Below are 24,477 nucleotides of genomic sequence, written 5' to 3' on the forward strand. Positions count from 1 at the left end.
ATCGCACCACTGCACCCAGCCTGGGTGACACAGCAAGACTCTATGTCAAAAAAAAAAAAAAATCACGGTTAAGTTGTCCAATGCATCAATTTATTCAACTAATGTTTAACCAGTACCTACAGGCAATCTACTCTGCTAATTACTGGAAATGCAAAGACAGATACAATGTCTCTAAAATTTGGAATGTGTCTGTGTAAGAATTTAAAGCATAAAGAAATGCCCCTCAATATAATGATATAACTTGTTGAATTAAAATAGTTCAGCTGTCAGTTATTGAAAACTAGTAAAAAGACTTAACTTTCACCACAATCTTTAGTAAAACTTAGAATGAGACTTACTTCTACTTATAGTCTTGGTTTAAAAAGCATAGCACACTACATCAAGTAGGCCCTAGGCATTCATATTTGTTTGCAGAATAAATATGCTATGGTCCATTTCTCAGCAGTCTAACTCTGTAAGGCAGTTCTTATATTTTAAGTGTCTAAAACACGTGTCTTCTTGATACAGGAGGAAATACTGAATTATTCATAACACAGATGAAAGTATTTTTCATCTACTTATATCCACCCTTCTTAAAAAGCATGCCTTCAACCCCCATTTGCATAGCTCCTCTGCTAACTTTTAGCCATTCCCTCTTATGAATGTACTGCCCTCTTTGTCTGAAGGCATCTGTCTCCATCAACATTTCATTTCTTACAGGAGCAGGGGCAGTGAGCTCTCCAGTTCATTCAGCCTTAAGTAGAGGAAGGGGCCCCTCACAGCTCCTAAGTTAGCCTTCTGGTACTCTTAGCAGAGTCTGGTACTCTTAGCAGAGTCTGCTACCCCAGGGCTGCAGAGTCTACCTGGGTTAGGTGCTAGTTGTTTACCAGGGTTCAGCATCAGTCTGAACTGAGCTTCTATACAGCAAGTGGCCACTAAGTGCCTTAGTGGTTTCTGGTTACACCTGGGGAACAGGGTCCTTAATATCCTAAAAGAATATTTTTATACTGATAGTTATTTTATCCACGTAAAATAAATCACTCATTTAATTAAATAGTTTTATAAAAGAAAAATTATTTATAAAAGAAAAACTATTATAAATAAATAATGAAATTCATAATGAAATTGAATATTTATTTGAATTTCTCCTGGTAATAGCACTCAACAAATAAGAAAAACCGAGCTGTGAGATTTTGTTTTAAATGTAGCCATATTTCAAAAGGTAAAAAGTTGGCTTCTATATTTAATGGCAAGTGGGACATCTTCTATTTTAAAATTAACATTCAAAAAGTAGTAAAATATACACTATCATGAACACGATGTGTTTTATAGAATGGATTCATGTCCGAATACTAATCTGAATGTGGAAGAAATGTATTATCTGTTAAAAACCACACTGGAAAAATGTTCTTTTTTATAAAAAGTAGCTTGAAGTAAAAAGGAACTTGCTAATAAAGCCAGTAAACTTTCACACGTGGGATTTTTAAAAAATCTCCACCCATCCCACCTCTGAAAAAAAAAGAAGGAGAAGAATAAAAGAAAGAAAAAGAAAAAACCCATATGGTCAATCTGAGTAGAGCCATTCATTACATGACTGCTCATTCTGTACAATGTGGAAGCCTGGTTATTTAGGAAATATTTCGTTTCCTAAAGTGCATCTTTTGAAGATTTGCCTAGTAAAACTGCAATATCATATACAAAACACTTAACACAAGACATGCAATAACAAAGCTAAATCATTCCAGTGTAAAGTTGTTAAAACTACTTTTAAAACTTTTGTTTCACCAAGAAATAAAGATGTAAAATACAGTAGCATTCTTGTTCTCCAACAGTATGCATTGTATGCTTTTGTTATTTGGCAAATCTTTTAGAGTCGAACAAAAATAATAGTCTAAACAACATTTCTTCTGTCATTATAATACGAATCCCGGGCAGAACAGTAAGATGTAGAGGAAGAGTTAGATTTTTGGAAGCTTTGGTGCATTAACCACAGGATTTGCCTCGTGCAAGTATCTCCTCCCTGCACTCTTGTAATCATAGGTACAGCCATGAGTTTCTGCATAACGATGAGATGCACAGAAGTTGTTTCCACATCTAAAGCACAAAAAAAGTTTACGTGAATAGTTGTATTTCTATGAAAGGCTCATCTGTCTGGGAGACAGGAGCTTGACTTCAGGTAGTCCAACAGGGGCCCTTTGGTTCTTTTTAGCAATTTCACTGCTGACATTTCCCTTCCATTCGTAAACAAGCATAAATACCCCCAAAAAGAACAAGTTAATTATCTACGAATATGACAATTTATGATAAAGAAGTCATTATTGACTGAAACAGGGTAGACCAGGGGCGGTGGCTCAAGCCTGTAATCCCAGCACTTTGGGAAGCCGAGGCGGGTGGATCTCCAGGCCATCCAGGCCAACATGATGAAAACCCATCTCTATTAAAAATACAAAAATTAGCTGGGTGTGGTGGCGTGCATCTATAGTCCAGCTACTCGGGAGGCTGAGGCAGGAGAATCGCTTGAACCCAGGAGGTGGAGGTTGCAGTGAGCCAAGATCGTGCCACTGCACTCCAGCCTGGTGACAGAGCGAGACACAATCTCAAAAAGAAAAAAGAAAAAAAAAAAAGAATGAAACAGGGTATAGAACTCTATCAGTAGTAAAACTGCAAAAAGCTGATAAATATGCCCATCGTTTCTCTTATACCTAGTAAACCTAAAAGAATTCTGAATTTCTGAGGAATTCAGTCTCATGATAAAATTAAAATAGTAAAACCTAACTATGCCATGAAAGGATTTTTAAAAATATTTCTAGTAGCAAAATAGGTTGTTTTCATTCGAACCGAATACACTCTAAAAAGCAGGGATTGGGATGGGTGTGGTGGCGGCTCACACCTGAAATTCCAGCACTTTGGGAGGCAAAGGTGAGAAGATCACTTGAGGCCAGGAGTTTGAGACCAGCCTAGGCAATATAGTGAGATCTGTCTCTACAAAAAATTTAAAAAATTAACCAGGCATGATGGCACATGCCTATAGTCCTCACTATTAGGGAGGCTGAGGCAGGGGGATCGCTTGAGCCCAAGACATCAAGGCTCCAGTGAGTTATGATTACAGTACTGAAAAAAAAAAAAAAAAAAAAAAGTCCGCAGCAGCAGTTATTTTAATTCAAGCCTAGCCCCAATCTAAGGGCAGACATCCAAGATAATATGACATAACATCCTTGGAGGATATCAATCAATACTAATGAAATAAATAATTACAGTAAGAAAAAGGTCATACTTTTTTGGAAATATATTATTCATCTATTTTATATTAACTTTTAATTTTTTAATTAAATTTTTAATAGAATATTCAGGGAGGGGTTCTTCCAAGGTGCCACTCAAACAAAATCCAAGCAGGTTCATCATAAGACGAAAAAGGTACACTCTCAGATTGGTTTAAACCTCCTAACTTAAAGGACAAGGAAGGATCTGTTTTTGTCTTTTGGAAACCCATGAGCTATCTACTTGTTCTTTACTTCAGCCAATTAGAAGTTCAACTGAAGATAGCTATTGAACATCATCTTAATGATGTTATAAACAGGCAATTTAAATATTTTATTTTGCATAATCCCCAAGCTGGGTTATCACAGAGAAAGCATCTGAGCTTCTCCAGCTCGCCAACCTGCCTGCATTCGTAGCTACTAGCCAGTCCTGTTTTCTTTCCACAAAGAAAACAATGATTTGTTGTTTTCTTCTTTGTCTGAAGAGGGGCTTTCACAGGTGGGAGGTGATGAGTAGTACATTCTCCTGTTTAGAGAAAGGACACCTTGATTAACACAGGCATAAAATCCTAAACATGAAATATTATTAAGCAAAACACAAAACATAGTCCTATCAAAGTAAATATCTATGCCATAAAAATTAATTTGTGCTATTTTTATATCTAAAATTACTTATAAAATCTACAGGTCAAGTTGCAGTGGAACTATTTCTTTTAAGATGTGGTAGGTTTCTACTGATTAGCACTTATATTTTTAGAACTTTTTATACACACCACTTTCCTCATTATTTCTAATGGTAATCAGTTTATATAAAGTACACCAAATTTTGACAGAGAATAAAGAAAAATGTCTGCTTCAAAATCATATTTGATGAAGCCTCTGAGAACATGATTGCAATATAAATATTCTGTTTGTTCACACCAAAAAGAAGTACCAGAATATCATGAAACATGCCTTTTAGTCCTATTACACCACTGACAGTTCATCAAACCATGAGCAAGTCATTTATTCTTTCAAAACTTCAATATGTTTATTTTTAACATAATAGAACATGTATTTTTCTCTCTAGGTTAATAAGCACTTTAAGGTCAACTCAATCCATATATGTAAAAAGCACTCTGAAAGTTTTAAGCATGTTATAATTACATAAAATGTCATATTAATAATAGTAACTAACAGTACACAGCTCAATTTCACAGTACTACTAGTTTTCCAAAAATATTTACTGAATTCTGTATTACTGTATCAACTTGAGTTTTTACCTTAAAAATAAGAGCACATCTGTTATTATATAAGAAAGAATTAAATCAATTTTTTTTTTTTTTGAGACATTTTGCTCTGTCGCCCAGGCTGTAGTGCAGTGGCGCAATCTCGGCTCACTGCAAGCTCTGTGTCTTGGGTTCAAGTGGTTCTTCTGCCTCAGCCTCCCGAGTAGCTGGGACTATGGGCACGCACCACCACGCTCAGCTTTTTTTTTTGTATTTTTAGTAGAGACGGGGTTTCACCATCTTGGTCAGTCTGGTCTGGTCTTGAACTCCTGACCTCATGATCCGCCCATCTCAACCTCCCAAAGTGCTGGGATTACAGGTGTGAGCCACCACGCCAGGCCAAATCAATTTCTTTAATTACTAAGTTAAATGTCTTTTAGAACTGATCAAAATGCCAACAAACCCCAGTCATAAGCAGAGAGGCTCAAAGTTCCTGCCCATAGTTGATAAAGTAACAGTACAAATACACATGTGCTTGGTGTCACACAAAGGCTAAGAAGCAAGAGGCAAAGAAAGAATGCAAGAACAAGTGGAAGGAGTGAGGAAAAACTGGTAGTGTCAATGGTGCTGGGACCTTTTCTCCACTACTGAAAAAGGTTTAGGAGGCCTAAGCTTGGTATTTAGTTGGCAGCTAAAAGTCTGAAATTTCTTAAAGGGTTCAAAAAATTGGATTTACAATTAATTGGTTCTATGTCTTTTTTTTTTTGTCACAACAGAGATTAGGTAATTTGTACACAAGCCCAGCAAAATTAAATCTTCTTTATTACCAGTATAAAATACACTTCCAGATCTTGCCAAAACTAGAAACAAAATTTGAAACAATTGAGAGACTCCTAATGGTGCCTGGGTACCAACTCAGTTAATAAACGTTTTCTTTCTCAAGTGCACTTAGAGATACCAAGAACATCTCACAAAGGTGAGGGAGTAATTCCATTATTTAAAGTATTTTTAAAAAGATATTTACTTGCACTTGCACAAGACACCAAAGAAAGGCATATATTACAAGATGTCCAATGAATGTTAATCTACTCGAAACCATCTTTAAAATTCAGGCTTAGGATATTCTTCCTTAAACAATGGTGGAAGAATCTCTGATGATAATTTAATTCACTGTAGTCACATTTTCATTTTTTTTCTTTTCTTAGGGGATGCTTAACTTGATATTCTCCATACTTTTTTTCATTTAAGAACTCTTGTGAGGCTGGGCGCGGTGGCTCACATCTGTAATCCTAGCACTTTGGGAGGCCAAGGTGGGCGAATCAACTGAGGTCAGTTCAAGACCAGTCAGGCCAACATGGTAAAACTCCGTCTCTACTAAAAATACATAAATTAGCTGGGCATGGTAGCACGCGCCTGTAGTCCCAGCTACTCAGGAGGCTGAAGCAGAAGAATCACTTCAACCCGCGAGGAAGAGGTTGCAGTGAGCCGAGATCGTGCCACTGCACTTCAGCCTAATCAGGTAACAGGGCGAGACTCTGTCTAAAAAAAAAGAACTCTTGCGAATGTGTAGAGACAGAGAATACATTAGTGACAGTAATGAGGTAGCACAAAAATATAAGTGCAGTACTCTATGAGAGCAGCCTCCATACATCCTTCTACCAATAGAGAAAACTATTAGCAACTACTGTGTACTAGGAACCATCAATAAACATATTGATTCCCCACTATAAACAGGAAAAATCTAAATTCCTTGGACTGGCATTTAAGGTATTATTATGTCCAATATAATGCCTTTCTAACTATCCAGAGACACTGTAATTTACCATGTCATACCTACCCCGAAGGATGTACCAAGTCCTTCCACATCTGCAATCTCTTCTAAAGTAAACTCTACCTTGTCAACCCAGTAGAATTTGACTTATCCTGTAAGACATCATCAATTATCAACTCCTCTCTGAAGCCTTCTCTCAAATGTGTACTGAACAGATGAATAAAGAAAAAAACCCATAAAATCATATTGATGGTAAGAGTTGCTTTTCACAACAAGATGAAAGGTACTTGAGGTAATTCACTTGCTTGCCATTTCCTAGTCTCATATTTTATCTAACATCTAACAGGATCTACAAAAACTGACCCAACAGAAAGGCAGCAAAAAGTAATAAATCAGTGTTCCAGACGCAAGGCTGGTAGTCGTCTGCCTAAAATCAATGGCTAAATCTATAATAATGAATACAGTTTCCAAGGGAAACCTTATAGTGAAAAGAACAGAGGACCAATGGAGGAATTTAGGAAGTCAATTAAATGAAACTTGCATCAAAATGTATATAGACTCTTCTAGATAATTCAGAATGATAGTTATTACAGTGAGAGAAAAATGGAAGCAAGTTACACAGCTCTACTGCAGCTAGCAGCTGATACTTCAAATCTAAATGAAATCAAACAAAAAAGCATATATCTGGGGACAAGCAGAGGGCTGGTTAAAAAAAAAAAAAAAAGGACAGAAGAAAACTGAGGTTAAGGCCAGGCGCAGTGGCTCACACCTGTAATCCCAGCACTTTGGGAGGCTGAGGTGGGCGGATCCCGACGTCAGGAGATCGAGACCATCCTGGCTAACACAGTGAAACCCCGTTTCTACTAAAAATACAAAAAATTAGCCGGGTGTGGTGGCGGGCACCTGTAGTCCCAGCTGCTCGGGAGGCTGAGGCAGGAGAATGGCGTGAACCTGGGAGGTGGAGCTTGCAGTGAGCCGAGATCGTGCCACCGCACTCCAGCCTGGGAGACAGAGTGAGACTCCACCTCACAAAAAACAAACAAACAAACAAACAAAAACTGAGGTTAAAAAAAGATTAAAACAAAAGTAAAAATTTATAACAATGTGATAGCCTAGAATTTTTTTTAAAAAAAACTATTTCAAGAATGAAGGACACAAAAATCAAATAAGATAAAGATATGGAGGCATCCAATGGATTTGAAATTATGGAGATTGTCAGTGACCACGGCAATAGCAGTTTCAGAAGAGCAGTGAGACGTGAACCAGCACTGAAGACTGAACTAGAGCTGAGTGAGTAGGGATGGGTGCAATGCAAATTTCCAAGAAGATCAGTTGTGCGTTAGGGCAGGACAGAGTTATGTGTCAACGAAAAACAACAACTATAACATTAAAAGTCAATAAATTACAGTAATAAAAACGATGTGATACTGGCATAAAACAGACACATAGACCAATGAGTAGACAGTCCAGAAACAAATCCTCGTATACATGATCAAATGACTTTCAACACGGGTGCCAAGACCATTCAATGAGGAAGGACAGTGTTTCAACAAAAGTTAATAAGAAAATGGGATGTTCACATGCAAAAGAATGAAGTGGAACCCTTACTTTACACTCTATTTTAACTCAAAATGGATCAAAGACCTAAACATAAGACCTAAAACTATAAAACTTCTAGAAGAAAAGATAGGGGAAAAGCTTCATGGTATTGGATTTGGTGGTGATTTCTTGGATATGACACCAAAGGCACAGGTAACAAAAGGAGAAAATAGACAAACTGGATTTCCTAATGTGTCAGGCATCGGATTTCCTAATGTGTCAGGCATTCTGGACTTTCCAGTGATGCCACTGAGATAGCACCTGTCAAAAGAGCAGTGGTTCCATTTCTAGATTGTGGATCTTCAGATAAATTCTGCCATTTTCATTTCACTTCCTGAAAGTCAGGGTTGGCTTGTGAAAAGTTGTTAAACAACATGCTAAATGTGAAATGTCAACCCTCACTCTAAACTTTCCCCGTTCAGAACATCAGATACTTCATTGGGTTTTATAGTGGCTTTCTGATTTTTGGTAGTCCGTTGAAGACGGGAGTTTGAAAGTTGTTGTATACTGTTAACGACTGTCTGTCCATGTACTGCCTGAAATACCATGATTGTTTATGGAAAGTATCTTTAATAAAGCTGGATACAGTTTGGTTTCGGGGAAAAAAAAAACATGAAAAGACATTTCTCCAAAGAAGATCTACAAATGGCCAATAAGCACATGAAACTACTCATTAGGAAATCAACTTCACTAATTAGGGAATCAATAATCAGTAACACTAATCGTCACAGATACGCAAATCAAAACCACAGTGACATCACCTCACACCCATTAGGATGGCTACTAGCAAAAACATAGGAAAATAACAAGTGTTGCCAAGGATGTGGAGAAATTGGAATCCTTTTGCACTGTCGATGGAATGAAACATGGTACAGCAACTGTGGAAAACAATATGACGGTTCCTCAAAAAATTAAAAATAGAAATACCTTCTGATCCCGCAATTTCATTTCTGGGTATATATTCTAAAGAATTGAAAGTAGTGTCTCAAAGACATATATGTGCACCCATGTTCACAGCACCATTATTCACAATAGCTAAAACATGGAAACAATACAACTGTCTATTAACAGATGAATGGATAAGCAAAATATGGTGTGTGTGTATGTGTATATTGTGTGTGTGTGTACACACACACGCACAATACAGTATCAGCCCCAAAAAGAAAATAATTTCTGATATATGCTACTACATGGGTAAACTTTGAGGACATTCTGATAAGTGAAATAAGCCAGTCATAAAAAGACAAATACTGTTTGATTCCACTTACATAGGTACTTAGAGTACCTAAAAAATCATTGAATTAGGAAATGAAATGGTGGTTGCCAGGGTGGTGGGAGGGGGAAGAGTGTTTCAGTTTTGTAAGATGAAAAGTGTTCTAGAGAAAGGTGGTGGTGATGGATCCCCAACAATGTGAAAGTCACTGAACTTTATACTTAAAAATGGTTATGACAGTAAAATTTATGTTATGTTTATTTTACCACAGTACAAAATAATTGAAAAAATGTGCAAATAGATTATGATTTTATAACCTTGGGCCTTACATAGGAATGAAAAACAAACCCTAAATGTCTTCAATAAAAACATAAAACCCACATGACAACCATAACAAATAAGGTATCTTTTAAAACCTTGAGGCTACAAAGGTGGCACATCTTTGGTAACGAGTTTCCCATCCCTGGTCTGGGTATTAAAACATTTAAAAAGATGGCTTCCTTCCTCCTTGAAAATAATGACTGGCCGGTGCATCTTTAATGTGTTACCATACTGGTAGAAAGAAGTGCTAATGTCATGGTCACTTCCACTAATAGGCCTTGGAAAGGGCTGGCCCTACAGACTGTCCCTTTCTTTTATCCAGAAATGACTAGTTCATCAAAAAGAGATTCTTACCACCACCTCTGATGTTTGGCCATGATGTTGAAAGACATCTTTCTAGGGTAATTCTTCAAAACCCACATGGCTCTAGAGTGGCCAGCAACTAAGGTGGTTGGGAACTACATGTTCATTCTTCAATAATCTTGTGGGTTTTTTTGACATAGATAACACCTCTTCCAAGATAATATATTTCAATTTCAATTTTTGTTTTATTCTTTATATATGTCCTACAGTCCGTTCTCATAATTATTCTTAATTGGAAAAAGCATTTAGAGACAGAATTTACTCTGTACATGCCACAGAGAAGGTTCTTCCCATTTCTCTTTGAAAATTCAACCGGATGCATAATTATGTAATTATCAGCCTTGTATTGTTTTCAAAATTATCTGTAGCTTACCTACGCTTTTCCCTGCTGCTGCATTATTTCCATTCATTCCAACACCATGGGTAGACTACAATTAAAACACAAAACATCTATAGAGGTGAGTCAATGAAGAATAGAAATGATCAACAAACATGAAATACTTGTATTTTATCACTAAGATGCTGTTGGACTTTCATTTTAAATTATTTATTCCAATTTTTGTTTAATTAAATTAACTCAGAACCTGATTCCACATCTAGCAATATCGTGCTTATTATTTATCTTTAAGAGGGTAGAATTTGCCGGGTGCTGTGACTCATGCCTGTAATCCCAGCACTTTAGGAAGCTGAGGTGAGAGGATTGCTTGAGCCTGGGACGTCGTGGCTGCAGCGAGCTGTGATTGCACCACTGTGTTCCAGGAGTTTGAGAGCAGCCTGGGCAACATGGTGAAACCCCATCTCTACAAAGAATATAAAAGTTAGCCAGGCATGGTGGCATGTGCCTGTAGTCCCAGGGACTCAAGAGACTGAGGCGGGAGGATTGCTTGAGCCCTGGAGGTCAAGGCTGCAGTGAACCATGATTATGCCACTGTGCTCCAGCCTGGGTGACAGAGTGAGACCCTGTCTCAAAAAAAAAAAAAAGGCCGGGCGCAATGGCTCACACCTGTAATCCCAGCACTTTGGGAGGCCCAGGCGGGTGGATCACGAGGTCAGGAGATCGAGACCATCCTGGCTAACACGGTGAAACCCCATCTCTACTAAAAATACAAAAAAAATTAGCCAGGCGTGGTGGTAGGTGCCTGTAGTCCCAGCTACTTGGGAGCCTGAGGCAGGAGAATGGCGTGAACCCGGGAGGCAGAGCTTGCAGTGAGCCGAGATAGCGCCATTGCACTCCAGCCTGGGTGAAAGAGCGAGACTCCGTCTCAAAAAAAAAAAAAAAAAAAAAGGGAGAGAGAGAGTGAAATTTGATGACTCAAATAAAAAGTTCTTACTTGGGATGGAAAAAAACATTAAAAACATTTAGCATTTAAAAATACATATTTTTAATACGTATTTGAAAATATGGGTGTATTGGCATGTTCCTATATTCCCAGCTACTCAGGAGGCTAAGGCAGGAGGATTGCTTGAGCCCAGGAGTTTGAGGAGTACAACATATACATACATATCTGATAAACTGTTTACATTAACTTATGTTCAAATTACTGTTCTCATTTCAGGACTAAAACAGCATTCAAAATTCGACTATCAAGATTTTATACAAACTAAATAAACATTTTCAGATAAATTTATGAAAATAATCTAATCTTAGCCTTCCTTATTTATGTAAACAAAAACCAAACTTTAAATAAGTTGAATCACTACAAGGATAACTACTAGAGCATGTTGAAAGGAAAATACTGACCAAAAAAACTCCTGTATGTTCTAACTGGGGAGAACTTTTCCTAAAGTTTTCTTCCTGAAAATGCTGGAGGTTTGTAGACAGCCCAGTTCCAGAGTTCTGAAGCCTGCCTGCCCCACGTGTGCTCTGTAATCTATTTCTGCTTGTGCTCCCGGCCAGTGAGGCAAGAAAACTGATATTATTTACACAACCAACAGGCTCTTTGGAAGCCTTGTTAGTCATTTCTGTGATATCCCGAGCCTCAACTTTGGAAATAACATCAGATCTTTTCCCAAGTGAATCAACTTTAACACCTTGAAAGCAAGTAGTCCTAGAGAAAGAAGAATCAGTTATGTTTTGAACATCCAGTGACTGAGAAGAAGAAGGCTGTAGCTTCCCAAACTCAAAACATTTGGACTGTCTCTCTGGTTTCACCAGAGAATTATGTAGCGACATTGGTGCAGAACAGCGAAGAGGTGACAAGAGTCTATTCTTGTGAGGACTTAATTCCCGGTAGTTAAGAACTGAAGTCTCTACTGATTCCCCATTCAGCACTCCTGCAACATGCTTGAGATGCTGCTCTGGAGCTTTCAACCCTTTGTCAGCATTAGTGAGTAGCAACTCCAGATTCACTTTGCACGCACCTTCTAAGCCGCTGCTCTGTTCATCAGCATTTCCTTCTGCAAATGAAGCCAGTGAGCCCACTTTAGGTAGAAGTGATTGTTCGGTTACACATTCTTCTGAAGGTAAGACAATGTTCCCATTACTAGATGGCAAGTTTCCTAAAAAATGTTTTGTTTGCCTAGGCAGGGATGATCCAAGATGGAGAACAGAGTCAGCAAGCTCCTGGTCATTTCCCAACTCCAAATGGGGTATCTGAGGAGGTAGTTTGACGTTGCTACTGAAGTGAGACAGTGTGTTATTCTCCCAGCTATTATCTTCCTTAAGAAATTCACCAGTGATAGAAGATATGTATCTCTCAGCAGAGAGTTGAGTTGCCAAACTTGAAATTCCATTCCTGGAGATTTCGGGCGGATATGCATTCCCAAAAGCAGGTGAACAAGATTGACCAATGTTGGGGAGGACCCTTAACAATCGGTGGCGAGATGGTGCAGTGGAACCACTAGAAGGTCGAGGAGCTACAGGTGGGTGAGGTTTTATCTTGACAGCTTTCTTAGGCTAAAAGGAATGAATATACAGTTTCTTTACACAGTCGTTTTCTCTGCCCATTAACAAAAATTAGCGAAGGAAGAAAATGTTACTTACCATAACATACTAGCATTTTTACTATCTCAATTTAAAATGTTTAAGAAGAATAAAATCTTAAGATTATGACAGAGAAGATGCTATTTTCCTTCACTGAGTATACTTTTCTGGGAATATTAAAGAAAAATAATTTTGTTTTATTTCCTTACTGCTGTTTCTCAGAGTTTTACTACAAAGAAAATGAACTGATTATATTAGATATGACATTGCTGACCTATTTTAGATCTCCAACAATTTTTCCTACTATGTTGAATAAATGTTTCATTGGACTGGTACACAGAAAAAAAGTTATCAATCCTAAAAAAAAAAAAAAAGTTAAAAGGGCTAAACTGCTATCCTTGAAAAGACTTGCTGGCAACACTGGCCTTTGGCTGGCTTTTGGGAACATCTATTTCAGGAGGTTCAGGAGGGTTCCCATGAACCTAACTGATAAGAGTCGTTCATTGTGCCAAACTATTTACGCAATAATACAGTTCATGATGAACACTTGCTTTCCTTTTGGGAGTCTGAACCGCAAATGCTAGGCAGAGGGTGCCTACAATGAAGAGGCCCAGTAAAATCCCTGGGCACAGAGTCTCTAATGAGCCTCCCCGGTAAACAACATTTCACATATATTGTTACAACTCACTGATAGAGGACTAAGCACATCTCATGAGACTCCACTGAAAGAGGACTCTAGGAAGCTTGCACTTGGTTTCCTCCAGACGTGGCTCTATGCACCTTTTACCTTTGCTGATTTTGCCTTGTATCTTTTTGCTGTAATAAGTACAACTATATACAGCAACATACTACAGCCCTGTGAATCTTCCTAGCAAACCATCACACCTGGGGTGGTCTTGGTGCCCTCTGGCATGGTAGATTTTTTAAAAAGTACCACAAAAATTCAAGATCTTATGAATAAAGTTGAGAACTAAACACAAGAAATCTAGCTCTTAAAAATAAGCAAAAATGGTAGCAAGCAGGCATGAGGATGGGATGGAATACCTTATGACATACCAATGCTCCCACTTACAGAAGATATAAAATATATGAAAATATAAGAAAAGCTGGATAATTCAGTGGATACCAACTGAGGCAAGAAAAATTAGAGGAGCTAAGAAGGAAGAAACCTTGGAAAGATGAGCTGGCTCCTATAGATGTTTTTATCCTAGAGACAGAGTTGTCGCCTAGGCAGGAGTGCAATGGCACAATCTCAGGCCTCCACCTCCCGGGTTCAAGCAATTCTCCTGCCTCAGCCTCCTGAGTAGCTGGGATTATGGGCACCCGCCACCATGTCCAGGTAATTTTTGTATTTTTAGTAGAGATGGGGTTTCTCTATGTTGGCCAGGCTGGTCTCGAACCCCTGACCTCAGGTGATTCACCCATCTCAGCCTCCCAAAGTGCTGGGATTACAGGTGTGAGCCACCACGCCTGGCCCAATCTGTAATTCTTTATCCAGCAAAAAATTCTTCAAAAATTAAGGATATGACTTCTGGGCTGTTGAAATTAATGACAGCTGCCTAAAACTGAATTTCTCCATGCTCCAGAAAAACTACACAGATCAACAACATACACAAATAAAATCACTCATAACCCATGCATCAGAAAAACTGGGAGACATATGATATGAACTTCAAAATATTCCCCAATCCAAGAAACTCATCTGCAAAGCCTATGCCTGTGGTGACAGACAGGCAAAAGTATGGAGAAGTATGGAGCTTCACCAAAAAAAAAAAAAAAAAAAAAGGGAAAAAAAATAAAGAAAGAAAAGGAGAGGTTTGCTGATGGAACAAAGAAAAATCCACAAAAGACAAAATCCCACTTGATTATGAAGATACTAAAAATAGATCTAAGATATGGGATATCAAACACAGGCTACCGAGAAATTAAAAGGAAGTGACTTTATTTTTATGTGTATTTTTTGAGACAGGGTCTGGCTCTGTTACCCAGGCTAGAGTGCAGTGGTACAATAATGGCTTACTGCAGCCTCACCCTCCCAGGGTCAATCGATCCTCCGAGCAGCTGGGACTACAGACACACATCACCATGCCCAGCTAATTTTTATATTTTTTGTAGAGATGGGGTCTCCCTATGTTGACAGGCTGGTCTCAAACTCCTGGATTCAAGTGATCCTCCCACCTCTGCCTCCCAAAGTTCTGGGATTATAGGCATGAGCCACCACACCGGGCATTAAAGTTGTTCAGGATAAAGGAGGTAGCTTCAAGAAGACATCACTTTTTGAAGGGAGAAGGGGTAAATTGAAAGGAAAAGGCAACCATTGAGACTTTGATAGTAAAAGTAAAGAAAGAAGCAGGAAAGGGAAAATAAGGATCCTTCAAAAACAGTAGTGAATCACAAATCAGAAAACATACTGACACTGCCCTCCAATAAGAGTGTCATTGATTTGAGCCAGGCATGGTGGCTCACAACTATAATCCCAGCACTTTGGGAGGCCAAGGTGGGAAGATTGCTTGAGTTCAGGAGTTCAAGACCAGCCTAGAAAACATGAGAAAAACCCATCTCTATCAATAATACAAAAAAATTAGCTGGGCATGGTGGCAGGAGCCCGTAGTCCCAGCTACTTGGGAGGCTGAGGTGGGAGGATCGCTTGAGCTCAGGAGGCAGAGGTTGCAGTGAGTCAAGATCATGCCACTACACCCCAGCCTGGATGATAGAGCAAGACCCCATGTCAAAAAATAAAAATAAATTAATTTTTAAAATAACAAATAAAAAAGTGTGTCACTGATTTAAAAAACCTGCATCTCACTACACCAAAGGAAGAGGATGCTCTTGAAATAAGAAACTTACTTCCCTACACAAAATCCTCACTTCTGTGTATTAATATATAACTGTTAATACTCATCTAAGTAAATAAAATTATAGAAAATACAATTAGAAAATAAATAGAAAAAGGCAGACCAAATCCATGTAAAGCTGCTATAAAAATAAAACAGAAAATGAGAATCAGAACATTTTAGCTAATGAAAATCCTCCCTAAAACAATGAAACAAAAGAAAACTCCATCACAATACCCCAACCTAAATTAAGTATCTTTTAGTATTTGCAGATATTTTTTAAAATCTCATCAAATCATAAATGCAAAAACTCAAGGCAGAATAGATAAAAGTAATAGGAGGATACGAAATGAGAGCTGAGCAAACCCAGAAATACTCTGCAGAAAACAAAATCATCTCAGAAATGAAGACTAAATTACAAGGTGCCCACAGGAGACTAAAATTCTACTTAATATTTAATAAAGAATACTGAGAAAAGGTATAGGCCGGGTGCGGTGGCTCACACCTGTAATCCCAGCACTTTGGGAGGCCGAGGCGGATCACGAGGTCAGGAGATCGAGACCATCCTGGCTAAGAGGGTGAAATCCTGTCTCTACTAAAAATATAAAAAAATTAGCCGGGCGTGGTGGCAGGCACCTGTAGTCCCAGCTCAGGAGGCTGAGGCAGGAGAATTGGCATGAACCCGGAAGACAAAGCTTGCAGCGAGCCAAGATCGCACCACTGCACTCCAGCCTGGGCGACACAGCAAGACTCCATCTCAAAAACAAAAATACTGAGGAAAGGTATGAAAACAGCCAAAAGAATAAAAATAAAATAAAGAATCTAAAAGGATAAGAGAGAAGGTGGTTGTATATTAGACAAAGAAGTTCTAACAGGGCAGAGGGGGTATCTCATGCCGCTGAGGCAGGAAGGTCACTTGAGCCCAGGAGTTCGAGGCTGCAGTGAGCTCAGGCTATGGCACTCCAGCCTGGGTGACACTGCAAGACCCTGTCTTTAAAAAAAAAAAAAAAGAAAGAAAGAAAGAAAAGACCACGACGATGTTCTAACTTATGTATAAAATAAGCTCCAAAGGCCGGGCGCGGTGGCTCACGTCTGTAATCCTAGCACTTTGGAAGGCCGAGGCGGGCGGATCACCAGGTCAGGAGATCGAGACCATCCTGGCTAACACGGTGAAACCCTGTCTCTACTAAAAATACAAAAAATTAGCTGGGTGTGGTGACGGGCGCCTGTAGTCCAGCTACTCCGGAGGCAGAGGCGGGAGAATGGCGTGAACCTGGGAGGCGGAGCTTGCAGTGCGCCGAGATCATGCCACTGCACTCCAGCCTGGGCAACACAGCAAGACTCCGCCCCCCAAAAAAAAAAAATTCCAAAAAAGAAAACAAACAAAAAAACAAATAAAGTACTAAAAAAAAAAAACATATAAATTCTAAGAAATAATCCTGAAATAAAAGACTTGAATCTTTATGTTAAAAAGACTCAAGTGTATAGTGAAAATTGACCCTGAAGAGTTAATTCCAAGATACATCCTAATAAAACCACTACATTTAAAAGAAAAAAAAATCCTCATTTTCTCCAGACAAAAAAACCAAATCATTTACAGAGAAAAGAAAGATTGGTAATTAGATTTCTCAATGGCAATATAAAAAGCAAAGCATAGCAGAGCAACATTTTAGACAAACTCAAGGGAAAAGATGTGAACCAAACATTTTATATCCAGGCAAGCCATCATGTAAGGATTAAGGCTAATGTTTCTAGCATTAAAAAAAGATGAATATTTAAGGTTATGGATATCCCAATTACACTGATCTGATGTTTACAAATTATATTCATGTATTAAATTATCACATGTACCCTGAAAATATATCTATTACGTATCAATGAAAATAGGAAAATACAAAAATAGAAGAAAAACCTACAATTAATATCATACATAATGGTAAAAACAAATAAAAATGTTAAGTCTAAAGAAAAGGGTTTGAACATCGAAAAATTCAAGAATTACTGTACCTACAAGCCTTTCTTGAGGACTTCAGATGAGCTTCTTCTAACCAAAATGTATGGGGAAACCTACAGCAAAAAGACTGATCATAAGAATGGAATACAATTGGCCGGGCATGGTGGCTCATGCCTGTAATCCCAGCACTTTGGGAGGCCAAGGTGGGTGGATCACAAGGTCAGGAGTTCGAGACCAGCCTGGCCAACATGGTGAAACCCCGTCTCTAGTAAAGATACAAAAAAAAAATTAGCCGGGTGTGGTGGCACACGCCTGTAATCCTAGCTACTCAGAAGACTGAGGCAGGAGAATTGCTTGAACCCAGGAGGCACAGGTTGCAGTGAGCCAAGATCGTGCCATTGCACTCCAGCCTGGGTGACAGGGCAAGACTCCATCTCAAAATAAATAAGTGAATAAATAAAAAGGATGGAATAAAATTAAAACTAAAATAAGAGTGAGTAGAAAGAAAAATGATTTGTAAAGGCTATGTTTTCTTTAAAAAAGTAGAAAAAAATTTTTAATGAGAGGATGAAGAGAGAAGAGAAAAAAATAAGTTCACTGATTTTCACTTAGTAATTAGGAGTCAAAGGATATTTAAAGCTGGCAAATAAAAGAGGAGAAGGTTAAATAAGGAAAAGGCAGATCAAGAACATGATAAATAGTATTAATGTAAAGTGAATCAATAAAACAAAATGCAAAAGCCTTCTGAAATACCAAAAAATACACCCTTACACATTCATATATACAGATACACACAAAAGAAAGCATAGAGAAGGAAACTGTAAGTATAACAAAATAAGACATTTAAGACCAAATATGAAGTCATATCAATAAATATAAACGTGATTAAGTTACCTGTTTTAAAATTTCAAGCTGGCTCACAAAGCAAAAACCAACTCTATAGTGTATATAAAGGAAATATGTAAAACAAAGTAACTTAAAAGTTAATAAATAGAGACATGGGAAAAGGTATACCAAGCAAATGAAACCAAGAAGATACCAGTAGGTATGGGCCTGATATCAGGCAAGGAAAATTCAAGGGGAAAGTCAGTGAATGTGATAGAGATGAAACATTTCACTACTTTTGTAACTAGCAACACAGTGAAAATATGTTATTAATATTTATGTACCAAATTACACAACTACCACTTTCTTACAGCAAAAAGTATGAGAAATGAAAAGAGAAATACACAGAAACCTATGAATAATAGACCTTCATCTATTACCATTCTCATTCTAAGACAGATCAAGTTGACAAAAAAAAAAAAAAACTTTAATAAGGTCTATCTTATAAATATCTAGCAAACTTTTACCTTTTTGATAGAGAATAAACTGTCTTCTGAGGTATATATTCATGAAAAGTGCTATTAGATCCCAAAGAATAAAATGCTATAAAGTAGAAATACAAACAATATTCTCTGAGTTCCATGCAATAAAACTAGAAATTAAAAACAATGAAAAATCAAGCCCGGCATGGTGCTGCACACATAGTCCCAGCTACGTGGGAGGCTGAAATGAGAAGATCCCTTGGTCCCAGGAGTTCAGTAACATAGTGAGACTCCCACCTCTAAAAACAAGAAAAGAAAAGAAAAAGAAAAACCAAAAAGCCTCTGCCACCAGAACATTTTCAAAATATATTAAAATACTCTTGGACTAATGAGGAAATACCAACTAAAATTGCAAATTTTCTTTAAAAAAAAAAACGAAAAAGAAACTACTACAAATTAACATTATGTGCCTTCTGATGTGTTGCACTGAGAAGAATAAATCATCTGTGTAGTATTCCTACCAAAAATGTTCAAATTCCATCTAATCATAATGAAACAGCCAAATCTCCAAATTGAAGAATATTTTACAAAACAACTGATCTATATTCTTCAAAAATATTTTACATGCATGTCCAAATAAGGCTTAGAAACAGTTTTGTATAAAAGGAGACTATGAAAACATTACAACGAAATGCAATGCATCATTCTTGATTGGATCCCAGATTAAAAACAATATAAAATGCTATTAAGCACATTATTAAGACCTGGGAAATATGAATATAGATGACATAATGTGTATCAATCATAAATGAGTATGGTAACTGTATCATAATCATGTAAAAGGTGGCCCTTATTCTTAGGAGATACATAATAAATAAAGTACTTAGGGGAAGTGTCATGATATCTAACTTGCACATAGATCAGCTAAAGAAAAATCCAAACAGAAAGCAAATGTGGGAAAATATTAATTGATGAATCTAGTCTTATAACATTTCTAAATAATTAAACATTTCTCAGCCAGGCGCGGTGGCTCATGCCTGTAATCCCAGCACCTTGGGAGGCCGAGGCAGGCAGATCACGGGGTCAAGAGATCAAGACCATTCTGGCCAACATGGTGAAACCCCATCTCTATTAAAAATACAAAAATTAGTTGGGCATGGTGGCTCATGCCTGTAGTCCTAGCTACTGCTACTCGGGAAGCTGAGGGAGGAGAATCGCTTGAACCCAGGAGGTGGAGGTTGCAGTGAGCCGAGACCACACCACTGCACTCCAGCCTGGGCAACAGCAAGACTCCATCTCAAAAAAAAAAAAAAAGAATTAAACATTTCTCAAAATTAAAAAGGTAAAATAAGTTTTCAGACAAATGCTGAGAGAATTATCATCAGGAACCCTAAATGAAAAGAAGTACTAGTACTAGAAGTCCTAGCTGGAGAAATCAGACAAGAGAAAGAAATAAAGGGCATACAAATTTGAAAGAAGGAAGTCAAATTATCCTTGATTGCAGATAATATGATCTTGTATTTGGAAAAACAGAAAGACTGCACCAAAAAACGATTAGAACTGATAAACACATTCAGTAAAGTTGCGGGATACAAAATCAACATACAAAACCCAGTAGCATTTCTATATACCAACAATAATCTAAAAAAATCAAGAAAGTAATCTCATTTACAATAGCTACAAATAAAGTAAAATAAAATACCTAGGAATAAACTTATCTAAAAAAGTGAAAGATCTCTATAATGAAAGCTATAAAACATTGGACGACACAAAAATATGAAAAAATATTCCATGTTCATGAGTTGGAAGAATTAATATTGTTAAAATGTCCATACTGCCCAACGCAATCTACAAATTCAACATAATCTCTATCAAAATACCAATGACATTTTTCACAGAAACAGAAAAAATAATCCTAAAATTTACATGGAACCACAAAAGACACAGAATAGTCAAAGCCATCTAAGCAAAAAAAAAAAAAAAAAACAAAAAAAAAACAAACAAAAAAAAACTGGAAGAATCACAATTATGTGACTTTAAATTATACTACAGAGCTACAGTAACCAAAACAGCACAGTACTGACATGAACATAGATGCACAACCAATGGAAAAGAACAGAGAACCCAGAAACAAGTCCACAGACCCACAGTGAACTTATTTTTGATAAAGATGCCAAGAACATACACTGGGGAAAGGATAGTCTCTTCAATAAATAATGTTGGGAAAACTGGATCCACATGCAGAAGAATGAAATTAGACCCCTTATCTTTTACCATATACAAAAATCAAATCTAAATGAACTAAAGACTTAACTCTAAGATCTGAAACTATGAAACTACTAAAAGAAAACATTGAAAGTAGGGTCTCAAAGACATATTTGTATACTTATGTTCATAGCACCATTATTCACAATAGCCAAAAGATGGGGGCAATCCAAGTATACATTGAGGAATGAATGGATTAAAAAAGTGTGGTATATAGCCATACAATGAAATATTATCCAGCCTTAAAAAGGAAGGAAATTCTGACACGTTATGACAATTTTACAAGACAAAAAACTTCTGGAGATTGGTTGCACAACACTGTGTTATACACTTAACATTACTGAACTGTTTGTACACTTAAGATGGTTAAGATAATTTTATGACATATGTATTTTACCACAAAAATAAAATTTAAAAAATTTTAATGGTAGAATCTAGATATTAGATAAATAAGTGTTCATGGTAAAATTCTTTCAACCTTACTGTATATTGGAAAAGAAAAATATAGATCAAAATTTCTCTCATGAATGAAATCGTAATGCAAAAATCCTAAAGAAAATATTAATAATTTAAATCTAAAGAAATGAAAAATACATCACAACCAAGAATGGTTCATTCTAACAATGCAAGACTATTTTATATTTTTAAAAAATCAGTTCATCACAATATCAGAATATTTTTATTCAGTGAAAAAATACTTACTTCTCTTTGGACTTCTTGACTATCAGTTACTTAGAAGTGTGTTATTTTCAAATATCAGAAAGCTTTCCACATATCTATTATTAATTTCTAATTTTATTCCATTGTAATCAGAGAGCATTTTTGTATTATTTGGAATCTTTTATAATTTATTTGAAACTGGTCTAGGCGCAGTGACTCATACCTGTAATCCCAGCACTTTGGGAGGCCAAGACAGGTGGATTGCTTGAGGTCAGGAGTTCAAGACCAACCTGACCAACATGGTGAAACCCCGTCTCTACTAAAAATACAAAAAATTAGCCAGGCATGGTGGCATGAGCCTGTCGTCCCAGCTACTCAGGAGGCTGAGGTAAGACAATCGCTTAAACCTGGGAGGTGGAGATTGTAGTGAGCCAAGATTGTGCCACTGAACTTCAGTTTGAGGGACAGAGCAAGATTCTGTCTCAAAAAAAAAAAAAGAAAATTGAACCTGTTTTATGGCACACAATATGGTTTACCCTGGTAAATGTTCTACATGCACTTAAAAAGAAATGTGTACTCTGCTGTTTTGGGTAGAGCATACTGTAAATGTCAGTTGGGTCAAGTAGGTTGATTAGTGTTGTTCAAGTCTCCTAAATCCTTCACTGATTTTCTATCTGTTCCATCGATTTTTGAGAGTGGGATGTAGAAATCTTTCAACAAAAGTATTTGTTTATTTCTTTGTAGTTTTTGCTTCATGTATTTTGAAGTTCTATTATTAAGTGCATAAACATTTAGGACTGTGAAGAAAGGATGTTTTTTCTTAATAGAGCTAAGTCAATTGTTCCCCATCAGAAAAAAAAAAAAAAAAGATCTTTACCCCACTTTACGTTATATCAGAAAAATTTCAGCTGGGCGCGGTGGCTCGCTCCTGTAATCCCAACACTTTGGGAGGCCAAGGTGGGAGGACTACCTGAGGTCAGGAGTTTGAGACCAGCCTGGCCAACATGGCAAAACCCCATCTCTACTAAAAATACAAAAAATAGCCGGGCATGGTGGCACATGCCTGTAGTCCCAGCTACTCAGGAGGCTGAGGCACGAGAATCACTTGAACCAAGGAGGTGGAGGTTGCAGTGGGCCAATATTGTGCCACTGCAGTCCACCCTGGAGACACAGCAAGACTCCGTCTCAAAAAAAAAAAAAAAAAAAATTTCAGCTGGACTAAACCTAAGTGAGAGAAAAACAATCATAAAGCTTTAAAGACCTGTGGTAGGAAAATATTTCATCAAAAGGTTATCAAAAATGATAATCATAAAAGTAAGCTGGGTGCAGTGACTCATGCCTGTAATCCCAGCACTTTGGGAGGCCGAGGCAGGCAGATGACAAGGTCAGAAGTTCAAGACCAGCCTGACCAACAAGGTGAAACCCCGTCTCTACTAAAAATACAAAAATTAGCCGGGCGTGGAGATGCGCACCCGTAATCCCAGCTATTTGGGAGGCTGGGGCAGAAGAATTGCTTGAACCCAGGAGGTGGAGGTTGCAGTGAGCAGAGATCACACCACTGCACTCCAGCCTGGGCAACAGGGCGAGACTCTGTCTCAAAAACAAAACAAAACAAAACAAAACAAAACAAAACTGATAAATTAGAATACAATTAAAAACATTCACCCAAAGAATAAGAAAGTAAAAGAACAAGCCACCATAGAGTGTTAGAAGTATCTGCAACCCATATATCTGACAAAGGACTTGTACCCATAGTATATAAAGATGCCTAGAAATCAGTAAGCAAAAGGCAGAGAACTCAATTTAAAAATAAGCAAAAGACTTGAACAGGCACTTCACATAAAAAACGTATCTTAATGGTCAATAATCATATGAAAAGTCAATATTATTCCTCATTAGAGAAATATAAAAGAAAACCATTTACACAGTCACCAGAATGGTTAAAATTAAAAGGACTGACAATATCAAGTGTTGACAAGAATGTGGCATAAACTAGAACTCTCACGTTGCTGGGAAGAATGTAAATTGGTTCAAATGCTTGGCAAAATTGGCCGGGCGCGGTGGCTCATGTCTGTAATCCCAGCACTTTGGGAGGTCGAGGCAGTCAGATCATGAGGTCAGGAGATCGAGACCAACTTGGCTAATACGGTGAAACCCCGTCTCTACTAAAAATACAAAAAAAAAAAAAAAAATTAGCCCGGCGTAGTGGCGGGCGCCTGTGGTCTCAGCTACTCAGGAGGCTGAGGCAGGACAATGGCGTGAACCCGGGAGGCAGAGCTTGCAGTGAGCCGAGATAGCGCCTGGGTGACAGAGCAAGACTCTGTCTCAAAAAAGAAAAAAAACAAAAAACAAAAAAACAAAAAAACCAAAAAATGCTTGGCAAAATTGTCTGGCATAATACTAAAGTTAAACGTGCATCTTCCCTCTGACTCCGAAAGTCCATTGCTAGGTATATGCTCCAAAGAAACAAGTGCTATGTCCACCAAAGAATGTATGAGAATATTCAAAGGAAGTTTATTGATAAAAGCCAAAAGCTAGAGACAACTCAAATGTCCATCAAAAGGAAAAGAAAGAAGCAAATTGAGGTAAATCAATCACACAGTACAATAGTACACAACAATAAAAAAGAATTAACTGATACATACAACCACATGGATAAATCAAACAAATACTTTTAACAAAAGAAACCAGACCATACTCTCTATGATTCCATTTATATAAATTTCAGGAATAGGAAAAACGTATTTACGGTAATAGATGTAAGAACAGTCGTTATTTCTGAGAGTAGGAACAGGTACGTATTAACTGGGAAATATTATGAGG

The 24,477-nt window shown here is 37.5% G+C and overlaps 1 protein-coding gene across 23 annotated transcripts in view; it reads right to left on the reverse strand.

Annotated features, from left to right (window-relative positions):
* Nucleotides 1-1,001: 1,001 nt before the first annotated feature.
* The window catches only part of ZFAND4 (zinc finger AN1-type containing 4), a 57,314-nt gene continuing 33,838 nt past the window's right edge, over nt 1,002-24,477 (reverse strand). For 15 of the 23 annotated variants that reach the window (XM_017016939.3, XM_017016933.3, XM_047426012.1 and 12 more), the window contains 4 exons: nt 11,453-12,607; nt 10,085-10,139; nt 3,642-3,762; nt 1,002-2,073 (listed from right to left, as the gene is read on the reverse strand). In XM_017016939.3, coding sequence (XP_016872428.1) covers nt 1,938-2,073; nt 3,642-3,762; nt 10,085-10,139; nt 11,453-12,607 — 1,467 coding nt within the window. In that variant the 3' untranslated portion in view covers nt 1,002-1,937. Of the gene's footprint in view, nt 2,074-3,541; nt 3,763-6,281; nt 6,368-10,084; nt 10,140-11,452; nt 12,608-24,477 lie in introns of those variants that run through there. The other 8 variants (NM_001128324.2, NM_001282906.1, NM_001282905.1 and 5 more) reach the window with 4 other exon arrangements.

Source organism: Homo sapiens, chromosome 10, assembly GCF_000001405.40.
Source record: "Homo sapiens chromosome 10, GRCh38.p14 Primary Assembly".
Lineage (NCBI taxonomy): Eukaryota > Metazoa > Chordata > Mammalia > Primates > Hominidae > Homo > Homo sapiens.